Raw genomic sequence first — 15,011 nt, forward strand, 5'->3', positions numbered from 1 at the left:
AGTTAATCATCACTGGTCATTAAAGGAATGCAAATCAAAACCACAATGAGATACCATCTCATGCCAGTTAGAATGCCAATCATTAAAAAGTCAGGAAACAACAGATGCTGGAGAGAATGTGGAGAAATAGGAACACTTTTCCAATGTTGGTGGGAGTGTAAATTAGTTCAACCATTCTGGAAGACAGTGTGGTGATTTCTCAAGGATCTAGAACTAGAAATACCATTTGACCCAGCAATACCATTACTGGGTATATACCCAAAGGATTATAAATCAGTGTACTATAAAGACACATGCACATGTATGTTTATTGTGGCACTGTTCACAATAGTCAAGACTTGGAACCAACCCAAATGCTCATCAATGATAGACTGGATAAAGAAAATGTGGCACATATACACCATGGAATACTATGCAGCCATAAAAAAGGATGAGTGTATGTCCTTTGCAGGGACATGGATGAAGCTGGAAGCCATCATTCTCAGCAAACTAACACAAGAACAGAAAACCAAACACCGCATGTTTTCACTCATCAATGGGAGTTGAACAATGAGTACACATGGACACAGGGAGGGGAACATCACACACTGGGGCCTGTTGGGGGGTAGGGAGCTAGGGGAGAGAGAGCATTAGGAGAAATCCCTAATGTATGTGATGGGTTGATGGGTGCAGCAAACCACCATGGCACGCGTATAACTATGTAACAAACCTTCATGTTCTGCACATGTACCCCAGAACTTAAAGTATATATATAGAAATAAGGAACACACAAAGGAGATAACATGTAAACTAAATGAAATGCAAGCCCCACTAAGGGTAAAGCGATGGTATCACACTGAAAGTGGATACCATCTCTTGTGCTACCCTAAAATGCTCTGCAAAATGAACCATGGTCTCTACACTAAGATATTAATACATCTTAGATAGGATGGCGAAATTACATCCAGCTGTATAATGGGAGCCCTCTCTTATCAATCTCAGGTCTCTTTGAGGCCTGGTCTGTTGATTGTGACATAATCTCCTACAACACCAGGGACAGCGTAAGTGAGATGTGAAAGATAAATATCTCCATGGAAGGAAGGAAGCCCTTCCTTCTAGGATACTTTCTACTCTGACTCACTGGCCTCTCTTGCCGGTTTCTCAAAGTATAAAATTTTTGTACCCTCAAAACCTGCTTGCACAAAACCTACATGCTCCCTAAGTATGCACAAGGTTGAAGGGACAACTTTGCTTCCCAGTTTCCCCAGGGATAGTAGAATTTATCTGTGAGTTCTGTTGATTGGGCCCATCTCATATTCTTCAGGTTCCATTTATTTATAAGACATTGCTGCTTTCAATGTGTCATCAAATCTTTCTGCTCTCCAAGAAGCCTGAAATATCTTATGGTCCTTGGTACAGTGTTCAAGGATCATGCAGGGCTTTTTTTTTTTTTTTTCAGTTGTGCTGCAGATAGCATGAGGGAGCAGCCCATAGTTTCTGCATGCAGCTGCTTATTACAGTAAATAAAATCATAGTATCTTAGTTCATTTGTGCTGCTTTAACAAAATACTACAGACTAGGTAATTTATAGACAGTAGACGTTTATTTATCACAGTTCTGGAGGTTTGGAAATCCAGGATCATGGCACCAGCTGGTGAGGGCTTGGCCTCTCTGCTTCTATGAATGATACTTTGTTGTTGCATCCTCTTGAGGGTAGGAACTCTGTGTTGTCTGTCGCATGGCAAAGGGAACAGACAAGGCAACAAGGGGTGAACTTCCTCTTCAGGCCCTTTTATAAGATTGCCTGATCCCATTCATGAGGGCTCTACCCCAATCACCTCCCAAAGGCCACAACTCCCAATACTGTTGCTCTGGGGATGAAGTTTCAAAGTCAGTTTTGGAGGGGACAAAAACATTTATACTATAGAGCATAACTTCCATTAATTGAGCCACTCTCCTAATTAGATTATGTTCCACACTACATGAATGATTTCAGAATAATGCCACAGTTAGGTATTTTTGTGCTCATTTAATTCTTTTAAATGAGACCCTGTTCTAAAATGGTATGTAAAAGAATTAGGACTTGATTTCAAGGTCTAAGTTTATCACTAGATGGTATTATGGATACTGGATGGTTTTTCTTGAGTTTCCCTTCCTGAGAAGCAAATCTGTTTACCAGCTACAATATAGCAGTACCTGTAGTTCATGGCCAGCCTGGCAGCACTATCTTACTACAGTACCCTTTGGAGCACTAAAGTTACTGTTAATGACAAAGAGAAAGGATGGAGAAGAAATTCTGGATATGACAAAATGCCGAGAGGGGTTTATGGAGACTAGTGAATGTAAAAGGGAGGGACATTGATGGCATCCGTGTCATGATGGCCACTGCACCTCAAGACAACAAGATCTTCAGGGATTTGTGAGTCCTCATGTCATAAGGGATGCAATACATTGTGTCATCTCCTGTAACAACTGTGTCAGGTTGGCCAGAATGGCATCTCAAAGAACTATTGTACTTACTCCTGACCACAAAACAGTCCGGGGACAGGATCACCATTCTCACATGTAACAGTTTCAGCAAGATGGCACAAACAACTTATTTTACTTGCTCCCCATTACATTTTGTTAACCAGGTTTTCTCCTCTCATGGAATACTCTATCACAATATTTCTGACTACAGCCCCAGGGTTTTTTTTTTTTTTTTTTTTTTTGCTTCCAGCTTTTGGTAACAGGTTTCTAAGCCAACCAAGTTTGCTTTCCTGTCTGTAGTCTAATAGCCAAACAGACCATAAGAATCATGTCCCTGAAGAGTGTCTACATGGCCTATTTTGCTACTCAATTCATGTTCAGTAACTCATTGAGCTCATTATCCCAGGTATGGCTAGTTTATACCTAGTTCATACATCAATTTAGGCTAGAAGCCATACCTGGTATTAACTCTTTGTTACTTTTTGAGACATACTTCACCACATATTGTAATGTAATTATTACAACTGTTTCATGGATGCTTGAAAATAATGCATAGTATATAATTGTTGGGTTTAGGGCTGTGTACTCATGAAATCAAGTATTTTTATTATGTTGTTTGAAACTTCTAAATTCTTATTAAATTATTGGCTGTTTGAGCTATCAATTGCTGAGAGACGTGTTAAAATATATCTTTTAATGACTTTGCTTATTTCTGCTTGTACTTTTTTCAATTTTTGCTTTATATATCTTGAAGCTGTATTACTACAAGGTGTCTGGGACAAGACTTAATCTGGGAAGGCATCCCGAGGTCACCGTTGCACTTTCTCCTGACCATAGAACATATCCTGTTAACATGATTAATAGAGATGTCCTCTTTAACATCCTGCTTTCACATTAAGCAGCCTTATACGAGGATATGAGTCATCTCCTGTAATTATCATGAACCACACCTGTCACAAGAAACACCTTTATTATCCAGATTTTATATTTTTATAGCAAACTAACTTACATGATTTCTCACTGTAGCCCTATTTGTCCTCCCAGCTTTTAATGACCAGCTTCGACATTTTTCAAATTGCCTTTCTCATATAGTCTGACAGCCACCAAGACCATGTAATCCATTTTCTTAGGTAGTATGTACATGGTTTAACCAACTGCAAATAGCAGTACTCATCTAACTACCTTGCTACTGACAAACTCATGTTTGATAACTCACTGCCTTCCTCTACCCTGTCTCCTACCAATTATAATTTTTACCTTCTCCACACTCCTTGGATACCTTGTGTTATAGATGCCTTAGCCTTTTAATCAGGATTAGTGATGCCTTTTGGTTCCACTGATGGCATATTCCCATTACCCGTCTAGGAAGCTAAAGAACAACTCATTGGAGTCCTTCCAAAAAAATAGAGGAAATCATACCAGTGGATTTCCATCCCCAGTTTTCTTACTCAACACCAAAAGGTCTTTTCTTGATGTAGTTTTTTTTTTTATTTTTATTTTTTATTTTTATTTTTGGAGACGGAGTCTCGCTCTGTCACCAGGCTGGAGTGCAGTGGTGCGATCTTGGCTCACTGCAACCTCCACCTTCCCGGATCAAGCGATTCTCCTGCCACAGCCTCCTGAGTAGCTGGGACTACAGGTGTGTGCCACCACGCCCGGCTAATTTTTTTTATTATTAGTAGAGATGGGCTTTCACCATGTTGGCCAGGATGGTCTCAATCTATTGATCTCGTGATCCACCTGCCTCGGCCTCCCAAAGTGCTGGGATTACAAGCCTGAGCCACTGTGCCTGGCCTGATATAGCTCTTAAAGTCCACCAACCCTCCCTTTTTATTTCCTGCCTTTTGTTCTTGACTGATTCCTCTCTCCTTTGTTTTAACAGCCAACTATTTTGAGTCTATCCGAAATAAGGTAAAGGCAAACACATATTCTGATAACTTTGCCTAGGCTGGTTTCCTTGCCTGGCAATATGAAAAGCTCCAGGTGACAGTTTTATCTCCTGCTGTTTTGTGATACAGAAGCAGTTGGCTTTTGCAATATTGGGAGGAGTCAATTCCTGGTCTCTACAAGTATCTAAGTCTGAGTGGTTGAGTAGTGAGTATTTATCTTATTTTATAGTTATGTATGTATATATGTATCTATGTATTTATTTGAGGTAGAATCTTGATCTGTCACCCAGGTTAGAGTGTAGTGGCACGGTCGTGGCTCACTGTAGCTAGCCTTGGCCTCCCAGCCTCGAGCAACCCTCCTGCCTCAGCCTCCCTAATAGCTGAGACTACAGGTATGTGCCAACACTCCAGGCTAATTTAAAACTTTTCTTTTGTAGAAATGGAGTTTCACCATATTGCCCAGACTTGTCTCAATCTTCTGGAGTCAAGCAAACCGCCTGCCTCAGCCTCCGAAACTGCCGAGGTTACTGGTTTGAGCCACCACATCCAGCCTAGTTACCTTATTTAAAACAATAAAAAATAACCCTAAAAAACAAAGTATTCACATATTACACATTTTAATGGGTTTTTAAATTGAAAGGCAGGCTAGGCGTGGTGGCTCACACTTGTTATCCCAGCACTTTGGGAGGCCGAGGTGGGTGGATCATTTGAGGTCAAGAGTTCGAGACCAGCCTGGTCAACATGGTGAAACCTCGTCTCTACTAAAAATAAAAAAAAAAAATAGCCCAGCTATTACAGGTGGTGCGCACCTGTAATCCCACCTATTCGGGAGGCTGAGGCAGGATAATCACTTGAACCTGGGAGGCAGAGGTTGCAGTGAGCTGAGATCGTGCCACTGCACTCCAGCCTGGATGACAAAGTGAGACTGTCTCAAAAATAAATAAATAAATAAATAAATAAATAAATAAATAAATAAATAAATTTAAAGGCAATGAATTTCCTCAAAATATTAGATAAAGCAAATTACTCAAATGCTTCCTCAAGTAAAAGACCAGTTGGGTCTCTTGGATTTATTCTTGTCTATTTATTATGAACCAATTTGGCCATCAACTTGAGTCTATACCTCTATGCTACTCTACTGACCTCCTGGTAATGCCCCTGCATTTACTAACATTCGGCATACATGTGGATGATTTATCTTACATTCAGAGTTCTGTATTACATGGAGACTGCTGCCTTTGAAAAACCATGTCCTCCAGCTTTAGTAGTTCCCTAAAAACTTCCCTCCATCTCCCTGTTTGATTGGTTCTTCCACTCCCCTGAGTTGCTATTCAGAGCAAGCAACTTGTTAAAGACAAGACTTTAACATATTCCCTCTTGTGCTGAGCTGCCCTCTTACACTTTATGGAGAAAACAGAAGGTGTCTGGAGGGAACACCACAATTTCCTACTTTTGCTATCTCTCTTCATTCATGAAGTTTCTCTGGAGATAGAGCTAGCACATCCTCCAGGACGGTATTTTGCATAAGGCCAGTTACTCTGTACTCTTAAGTTTCTCTAAACTGAAAATAATTTTTGAAGTGCCTGGGTTTCCTAAAACATTAAAAATAAGACCCATTAACCATATGATTAATTATATGATCCAGTGATCCCAATTCTGGGTAAATATCCAAAAAAATGAAAGCAAGTTCTCACAGTGATATTTGTACACTCATGTTCATAGCAGCATTATTCACAATAGCCAGAAGGTGAAAGCAACCCAAGTGTTTATCGATGAATAAATGGATAAACAAGATGTTGTATTTACATACAACGGATTTTTTTTTTTTTTGAGACAGAATCTCACTCTGTTGCCCAGGCTGGAGTGCAGTGGCGCGATCTCGGCTCAGTGCAACCTCTGCCTTCCAGGTTCAAGCAATTATCCTGTCTCAACCTCCCAAGTAGCTGGGATTACAGGCACCCGCCACCATGCCTGGCTAATTTTTTTGTATTTTTAGTACAGACAGGCTTTCACCGTGTTAGCCAGGCTGGTTTCATACTCCTGATCTCAAGTGATCCGCCTACTTCAGCCTCCCAAAGTGTTAGTATTACAGGCATGAGTCACCGCACCCGGCGTTAATGGAATATTATTCAGCTTTAAAAATGTAGGAAATCCGGTCATATGCTACAACGTGGATGAAAGTTGAGGACATTATTCAGTCCCCAAAAGAAAAATACTGTATAACTCCAGTTATAAGCAGTGTCTAACATAGTTAAATTCATAGAAACAGAAAATAGAATGGTGGCTACCAGGGGCCAAAAGGAGAGGAAAGTGGAGAATCGTTCTTTAATGCATACAGAGTTTCAGTTTTGCAAGATGAAAAAGTTCTGGAGATCTGTCACACAACAATGTAAATATACTTAACACTACCTAAGTGTACACTTAAAAATGATTAAAATGGTAAATTTTTATATTATCTGATCTTTACCCCGATTTTTTTTTTAAAGTCCCTAGACCTCATGTTTCTTTCTAGCTGCACCTGTTTTGGAAGAACTTTCCATGATCACTAACATCTCTTCTTTATCTCCCACTCCCTCTTCAACCCACTACCATCTGACTTCTGCCCTTGTTCAGGTTGTCAATGACCATTCCACTAAACCTGCTCTTGCTAAGGTTGTCAACCTCCCTATATTTTTATGCTTAGTATACTCAACTGAGAGTACTGGGGTCTGCTCACCACTTATTTCTAGAAGCTCTTACATCCTTTGGTTTCTGTGAGGCTCTGCCTTGTTCTTTGACAGACAATCGACAACTTTTTTTTTTTGCTGCCTTTTTTCCTTCATAAATGCTTGACCTGCTGCTTTTTATGTCTTTACAGTACTTTAGAGATTTCTTATGAAAGCTCAACTAAACCTGAAGTACCAACTATCAAATTTATCTCTGATCAGATCTCCCTCTGCCTGGTCAATTCTATCTGAATGACCCATAGGCTCTTATAACTTAACTTCTCAAATTAAACTCATCATTTCTCCTCTGTGTTCCCTTGCTCAACGATATTTATGCCCAAATCCTATTCTGAAATCTGGGAGTCATACTAGAATCCAAATTCCCCTTTATCCTCTACATGAAATTAGTCAAAAAGTTCTATTGATTCTAAGCCCCATTAATTCTCAAAATTCATCTCAACTGCCACTGCTTTAGTTTAGATTTTCATCACCCACTGCCTTCAAACTGGTGTCTCTGTCTCCAATTTTGTCTTCCTCAAATTAATCTTCTATGTTGTGTTAGAGTGATCATAAAAGTTAAATCTGACCATGAAGCTGGCCTACTTAAAAATCTTCAGTAGCTTACTGTTGCTCTAAGGGTAAACTCTCTACTCTTTAACATTCAGCATACCAAAGGCCCTGTGCTCCCTCAAATGATTATAGATGACTCCACTTTGGATTCAGCTATACTGCTTTTGTAATTCCCAGCAAGGTGCCACTAATGGCTTTGTTTGTGCTATTCCCTCTGCCTGGACTGTCTTTCCCTGTCTGCTTGGCTAAGCTCCCCTTCATGATTCAGCTTAGGTATCCCCCATTCATGCTCCCACATCATCCGATGCTATGCTGTGAGCACTACTGTATCCGGTCCCTCACTATATCTAGTTGTTCCAAGGCAGGGACTAAATTCTTCATTCCTGCACTCTGCGCCCTAGCACCATGCATTTTCGTGAATCACTCCCTGGTTTGGGGTACTGGTGTGTATGTGTATGCGCATGTGCGTATATGCGCATATGAATGGAGAGTAAATTTGAATTTTTGCTGGGCACACGGCGCAGTGAAGACAAGAAAGGGGCACTATTTTAACACAACCTTTTCCCGTGATCACCACCGAAAATTACTGACGAGTCAATCACCTCAGATCTCTCAAGCAGTCCAGCCTACGCAACAGTACTCCACCTCTGCGCCTGTGCGGGGAGGGTAAGGCGGGGCCAGCAACTTCCTCAGCTGGAGGGAGAGCGCACGGTGGAGCCGCCAGTTGAGAAGGACTCTGATCCGGCTCAGCTTTCCAATCAGCTGCGGAAGGAGCCACGCTTTCGGGGGTTGCAAGATGGCGGCCACCAGTGGAACTGATGAGCCGGTGAGACGCTGTTCTGGGGTCGGGTGAGTGGGGAGGTCGAGCCAGGTGGAGCCTTTTTTTTTTCTTTTTTGAGACAAGGTGTCACTCAGTCGCCCAGGCTGGAGTGCAGTGGTGGGATCACCGCTTACTGCAGCCTCGACCTCCAGCGCTCAGATCTTCCGCCCACCTCATCCTCCCGAGGAGCTGGGACTACAGGCCCGTGCCACCACGCCCAGCTACATTTTTTGTATTTTTTGTAGAGACGGGGTTTCGCCATGTTGCCCAGGCTGGTCTCAAACTCCTGGGCTCAGGCGATCCGCCCGCCTCGGCCTCCCAAAGTGCTGGGATTACAGGCACGAGTCACTGCGACTGGCCTTGGGGGGAGCCACCGCGCCCGGCCTTGGGGGGAGCCTTGAACTCTTTTTCCTCCTTTCTAGGTTTCCGGGGAGTTGGTGTCTGTGGCACATGCGCTTTCTCTCCCAGCAGAGTCGTATGGCAACGATGTGAGTATGACTCACCCACAGCTCCCACCCACTCAGCTAGCCTGGGATCTCTGCAGGACCTGCCTGCCACTAAGTTATAACTTCACGTCCTGATAATCTACTGCAGACCCTCTCCACTTACACCAGAAACTGCACCTTCGTTCAGTTCGTTTTAATCTTGGTCCACAAACGCAGGACTAACGCCTGTGGAAGTGGTTCCCCAAGTTGGCCACGCTTTAGAATTACTGGGGAGCTTTTAAACATCCCGCTGCCTAGATTGCAGTTCATACCACCTAAATCAGAATGTCTGGGTAATGAGAGCCAAGAATCAGTATTTTTAAAGGGTCTCTGAGGGATTCCATTGTGCAGCTTATGGTGTGTCTGGTTTAGAAAATTACTGAGAAAGTATATGAGGTATTTTCCAAAACAAGACAAGAGGATGTGAGAATAGTAAAAACACCCAAATAAGAGTGTGATACATATAATGAGTGGGTCAGGCCATAAGATCCAAATAATTTAGCTGAAGGAGAAATCCCTAAGGGGCCAAGGCAGTGGAAGACTTGACTGAGGAAATGGAGCTTTACCTGTATCCTCAAAGTGTAGGTGGACAAAGGACATGGATTGGCACGTGGGAAAAGTGCATGGTCTAAGGCATGGAGGTAACAAATGCAAATGGCTTTTTCTGGAGTCAGTGAAATAGCTCGGTCTCGTTGGAATGGGAGATTCCAGTGGAACCTCCAGTGGGGTGCTTGGTAAGACTTATTATAACCTTGACCTGTTTCATGTGCTAATTCATTTCTAGGTGTTACAGTATGGGGAATTGGCTGTTTGGTAAACAAAAATGATTATGACATGCTTCAGTCTTAAAAGTGAAAAGTAATTTTCATTTTGATTCTTTGTTCTCCCAACAACTCAGTGGAATTGATGGGTATATTATTTCAGTTTTACAATGATTTAACTCAATCCTGAGAAGGTGATTTATCTCCTGCTTTATTTAGTCTCCCAGCTTTCACTAGCAGCTGGGAAAAGATAGCCGGTGGCTCATTGTGTTCATTATACTGTGTAGGTAGCTTTTTTTGGTTGTCATACAGACAAAATAATTATTGTCCAAATTTATTACTCCAGTTTTTATCATTTGACAGTAACATCAAGTTTGGTAGCCCTCTTGAGCATTAACTAGACATCCACATACTTCCTTAATTTGCTATTCAGTAGTAGGATGGGGAGATTTATGACCTGGCATTCTTCACTCCTTTGCAGCCTGACATTGAGATGGCTTGGGCCATGAGAGCAATGCAGCATGCTGAAGTCTATTACAAGGTGAGTTGTCTTTCTTCATCATTAAGCAGAATTAAACATGTAATTATAGTGTATGATGCTCTGCTTATCACTATTCTCAGCAAGTTAAACAGTTGTGTTTTGGAGATCGTTTTTATTAATGTAAGTTCTTACCCACAGACAACAGAGGAGCGAAGGCAAATTTGTTTCTACAATGAGTTCTGCTGCTTTGCCCAGCGTTATAATGCTAACTGACAAAAGGGCGTCTGGCCCATACATAGTAGGCACTTAATAAATGTTTGTTGAATGAATGAACAATCCACGGAGGGCAATAGCCAGGCAGTACTGTGGTTAAGTAAGCCAACTGCCAAATTGGTGGAAGGGATTGTAATAATATATTATGGCCTTAAACTGTGTCATGATTTCATCTAGGATGTAGACTGTCGACACTTCCTGAAGAGATCTTCTGCCCTGAGAACCATAAAGGTTTTCTGGTGGGGATGGGGAAGATAGAAGTATAGTAAATTACAGACTAGCATCTGTATGTTGTCTTACTGTTTCGCAGCTGATTTCATCAGTTGACCCACAGTTCCTGAAACTCACCAAAGTAGATGACCAAATTTACTCTGAGTTCCGGAAAAATTTTGAGACCCTTAGGATAGATGTGTTGGACCCAGAAGAACTCAAGTCAGAATCAGCCAAAGAGGTAAAAATTCTCTTTCTTAAATATTACTTAGCATTTAACCAACAATTTTTGATTGCGAATGTTTTTTTACATTTAAGCTCTTTTTTTGTTTGAGAAAAATATGTAAAGAACCAGAACTTCTTTTCTAGTTGTAATCAACTAAGTTAGGAAATGAATGTTTTTCCAGTTTATGGACTTTTCATGTTGTTGAGTCTATTTTTTTCTCCTTTTTGTCTTGGACATTTTAAATCTCCACCCATCAGCCCTTTCAGAGGAGGATGGATCAGTTTATTTAGGTAGTATAGCCAGAAGGCTTGGATGGGGAGTGGCAAATAGGGTATAGGAAGGTGTTTTGATTCTCTGGATTTAAGTTCATGTGATTACAGGCCATGGGTAACTGGAAAACTTTTGTTTTTCATTGCTTATGTGATTATCCTATACTTTGATAGGAAACTAACACATTTACAGTTAGGAAAAAAATGTTTTCCTTGAGAGTAAACCCTTGGCTAATGAAGAATCTAAAGTTTTTGTTTGTTTGTTTGTTTTGTTTTGTTTTTTGTTTTTTGGTTTTTTTTTTTTGATACAGGGTCTCACTCTGTTGCCCAGGCTGGAGTGCGGTGGTGCCATCTCAGCTCACTGCAACCTCCGCCTCTCAAGCTCAAACAGTCCTCCTGCTTCAGCCTCCCTAGTAGGTGGGACTGCAGGTGCATGCTACCATGCCCAGCTAATATTTTGTATTTTTGGTAGAGACAGGGTTTCACCATGTTGACCAGGCTGGTCTTAAACTCCTGAGCTCAAGCGATCCGCCCGCCTCGGTCTTTCAAAGTGCTGGGATTGCAGGCGTGAGCCACCACACCCAGCCAAGAAACTACACTTTTAACTCCTAGCAGGCAGTTAGTGATCTTTGTCTTTGGAAAACTGTCACTACTGAATGGACTTCTTTATTAAAATCATTTGTGTTTTAGTGGGGATAGATGACCATTTTGGGCTGAACTGACCAATAACTTCAAAACAAAACAATTGACTTAAGAAATAATATTTTAATTCTGCAGTAAAGGATTTATATATTTTTCAGAGTAAAATATTGTTCATCTTGGGAAATGGCAGTCTAAAGACACAATAGGTAGCACAGAAACGCATTGCTAGTTTCACTGTGAAACCAACAATCACCTCAATCCCAGTCTCACTATGATTATTTTCCTTACTGGGAAAATGGAAGTCCCTCTCCTGGCCTTAGTACGTCAGCCTCTTGCATTTGTCAGCTAAAGCATCGTTTTTGCCTTTATAGAAGTGGAGGCCATTCTGCTTGAAGTTTAATGGGATTGTTGAAGACTTCAACTATGGTACTTTGCTGCGACTAGATTGTTCTCAGGGCTACACTGAGGAAAACACCATCTTTGGTGAGTTTCTTCCCTCTGGAATTGTTTCTGTGTAAGGAGACTGAACAGTCTGGCTTTACTGATGAATCAGTGATGTGTATAGTTAGGTCACCTTATCTTGTTTCATCTTTAAAGATCTTGTTGCTATTTTTATGTAACTTGAAGATAGTTAAGTATTTTCAATCTCATTAATATGAGATTGGAATTAAAGATCTCTGAAGTTTATGACTATACTGGAATGGTTTGCATGTTATTTCAATTTTGTCAGTAGATTTCCAGCATATTTAGGGAACAGGCCAGGCACAGTGTCTCATGCCTTGTAATACCAGCACTTTGGGAGGCTGACATGGGAGGATCACTTGAGCTGAGGATTTTGAGACCAGCCTGGGCAACATAGGGAGACCCCATCTCTACAAAAATGTTTAAAAAATTAGCCAGGTATAGTGGTGAGTGTTTGTAGTTCCAGCTATTCAGGAGATTGAGGCAGGAGGATTGCTTGAACCAGGGAAATTGAGGCTGCAGTAAGCTGTGATTGTGCCACTGCAGTCCAGCCCTGGTCATCAGAGTGAGACCCTGTCTCAAAAAAAAGAGATTTAGGGAATAAGCTGAGAGTAGGATGATAATCAATTCTGTTCACTTTTCAGCCCCCAGGATACAATTCTTTGCCATTGAAATTGCTCGGAACCGGGAAGGCTATAACAAAGCTGTTTATATCAGTGTTCAGGACAAAGAAGGAGAGAAAGGAGTCAACAATGGAGGAGAAAAAAGAGCTGACAGTGGAGAAGAAGAGAACACCAAGAATGGAGGAGAGAAAGGAGCTGATAGTGGAGAAGAAAAAGAGGAAGGAATCAACAGAGAAGACAAAACTGACAAAGGAGGAGAAAAAGGGAAAGAAGCTGACAAAGAAATCAACAAAAGTGGTGAAAAAGCTATGTAAGGTATACAGGGAACAGCACTCTAGAAGCTATGACTCAATTGAGACTACAAGTACCACGGTGCTACTTGCACAGACCCCTTTGGTTAAATGTAAATTCTTGTACAATTGAAGGATACGCAGAAGGACATCTTTCTAGTCTAACAGTCAGGAGCTGCTCTGGTCATTCCCTTGTATGAACTGGTCTAAAGACTGTTAGTGGGGTGTTAGTTGATTTTTCCTGGTATACTGTTTCTTGGCTGACACTACTGGTCAAGTAAGAAATTTGTAAATAAATTTCTTTTGGTTCTTATTATCTATATCTGTGACTGACTTTAAAAAGGTATTTGACACTTGAAATTTTTTTCAAATATGTAATCTCATCACCATGTCTTATATAAGATAATTTACTCCTGTTTCTTACTGCTTCTCACTGTTTCCTGTAGTGAAGTTCTCTAAACTTGTTAAGTTATACCTGGTGTTGGGATTAGAAGTCCTTACATAAGAATTGACTCTTAATCTCTGAGTGACTATAACTCCCTGATTTCTTTGCTATATATGACAAAATATTTGATAAATAGCAGCAACCTGAACCTGTCAAACTAGTGAATGCAGCCCAGTTCATATTAGAAGAGCAAGAGACTGGACATGCTTCAGTATTTGCTTTTCTTTTGGTAGCCAGAATGTTACCTGAAAGCTAGCAAAAAAAAAAAAAAAAAAAAGGGAAAACCAGACAGAGTAGCTACCCCCTTTTTTTTTTTTTTGGAGATGGAGTCTTACTCTGACTCCCAGGCTGGAGTGTAGTGGCACAATCTTGGCTCACTGCAACCTTGGCCTCCTGGGTTCAAGTGATTCTCCTGCCTCAGCCTCCCAAGTAGCTGGGACTACAGGTGCGTGCCACCATGCCCAGCTAATTTTTTGTATTTTTAGTAGAGACGGGGATTCTGTGAAGAAAGTCAATGGTAGCTTGATGGGGATAGCATTATATCTATAAATTACTTTGGGCAGTATGGCCATTTTCACTATATTGATTTTTTTCTCTCCATGAGCATGGAATGTTTTTCCATCTGTTTGTGTCCTCTCTTATTTCCTAGAGCAGTGGTTTGTAGTTTTCCTTGAAGAGGTCCTTCACATCCCTTGTAAGTTGTATTCCTAGGTATTTTATTCTCTTTGTAGCAATTATGAATGGGAGTTCACTCATGATTTGGCTCTGTTTGTCTATTTTTGGTTTATTGGTGATTTTTGCACATTGATTTTATATCCTGAGACTTTGCTGAAGTTGCTTATCAGCTTAAGGAGATTTTGGGCTGAGACGATGGGGTTTTCTAAATATACAATCATGTCATCTGCAAACAGAGACAATTTGACTTCCTCTCTTCCTATTTGAAAACGTTTTATTTCTTTCTCTTGGCTGATTGCCCTGACCAGAACTTCCAATACTACATTGAATAGGAATGGTGAGAGAGGGCATCCTGGTCTTGTGCCGATTTCCAAAGGGGATGCTTCCAGCTTTTGCCCATTCAGTATGATATTGGCTGTCGGATTATCATAAATAGCTCATTATTTTGAGATACGTTCCATCAATACCTAGTTTATTGAGAGTTTTTAGCATGAAGGGGTGTTGAATTTTATGGAAGGCCTTTTCTGCATCTAATGAGATAATCATGTGTTTTTTGTCATTGGTTCTGTTTATGTGATGGATTATGTTTATTGATTTGCATATGTTGAACCAGCCTTGCAACCACAGGATGAAGCTGACTTGATCGTGGTGGATAAGCTTTTTGATGTGCTGCTGTATTCGGTGTGCCAGTATTTTATTGAGGATTTTCCTATTGATGTTCTTCAGGAATATTGGCC

The 15,011-nt window shown here is 41.0% G+C and overlaps 1 protein-coding gene across 2 annotated transcripts, besides 2 other annotated features; it reads left to right on the forward strand.

Moving 5' to 3' along the window:
* On the forward strand, positions 8,332-13,584 carry PBDC1 (polysaccharide biosynthesis domain containing 1). Of its 2 annotated transcripts, NM_016500.5 has the most exons (6): positions 8,332-8,438; positions 8,855-8,920; positions 10,160-10,219; positions 10,743-10,883; positions 12,151-12,262; positions 12,886-13,584. In NM_016500.5, the coding sequence occupies exons 1-6, from the start codon at positions 8,409-8,411 to the stop codon at positions 13,176-13,178; spliced, it is 702 nt and encodes a 233-aa protein (NP_057584.2). In that variant the 5' UTR covers positions 8,332-8,408; the 3' UTR covers positions 13,179-13,584. The 2 variants fall into 2 exon arrangements, with proteins under 2 accessions (NP_057584.2, NP_001287817.1); NM_001300888.2 differs by lacking the exon at positions 12,151-12,262.
* Positions 8,344-9,201: an enhancer, noted in NCBI's record as "H3K27ac hESC enhancer chrX:75392909-75393766 (GRCh37/hg19 assembly coordinates)". NCBI's record gives its function as "activates a minimal SCP1, AML or CMV promoter by ChIP-STARR-seq in primed H9 embryonic stem cells {active_cell/tissue: H9 hESC(primed)}" and the evidence as "EXISTENCE:reporter gene assay evidence [ECO:0000049][PMID:30033119]".
* Positions 8,415-8,714: an enhancer, noted in NCBI's record as "active region_29775". NCBI's record gives its function as "activates an Ori minimal core promoter by ATAC-STARR-seq in GM12878 lymphoblastoid cells {active_cell/tissue: GM12878}" and the evidence as "EXISTENCE:reporter gene assay evidence [ECO:0000049][PMID:35858748]".
* Positions 13,585-15,011: the final 1,427 nt, after the last annotated feature.

This window comes from Homo sapiens, chromosome X, assembly GCF_000001405.40.
Source record: "Homo sapiens chromosome X, GRCh38.p14 Primary Assembly".
NCBI classification, from domain to species: Eukaryota; Metazoa; Chordata; class Mammalia; order Primates; family Hominidae; genus Homo; species Homo sapiens.

Bases quoted from the DNA above. Each gene is read 5' to 3' on its own strand.
- PBDC1 (NM_016500.5), top strand. From the start codon at position 8,409: ATGGCGGCCACCAGTGGAACTGATGAGCCG. The intron at 8,439-8,854 runs GTGAGACGCTGT...CCTCCTTTCTAG, and splicing joins CCAGTGGAACTGATGAGCCG to GTTTCCGGGGAGTTGGTGTC. The intron at 12,263-12,885 runs GTGAGTTTCTTC...TTCACTTTTCAG, and splicing joins TGAGGAAAACACCATCTTTG to CCCCCAGGATACAATTCTTT.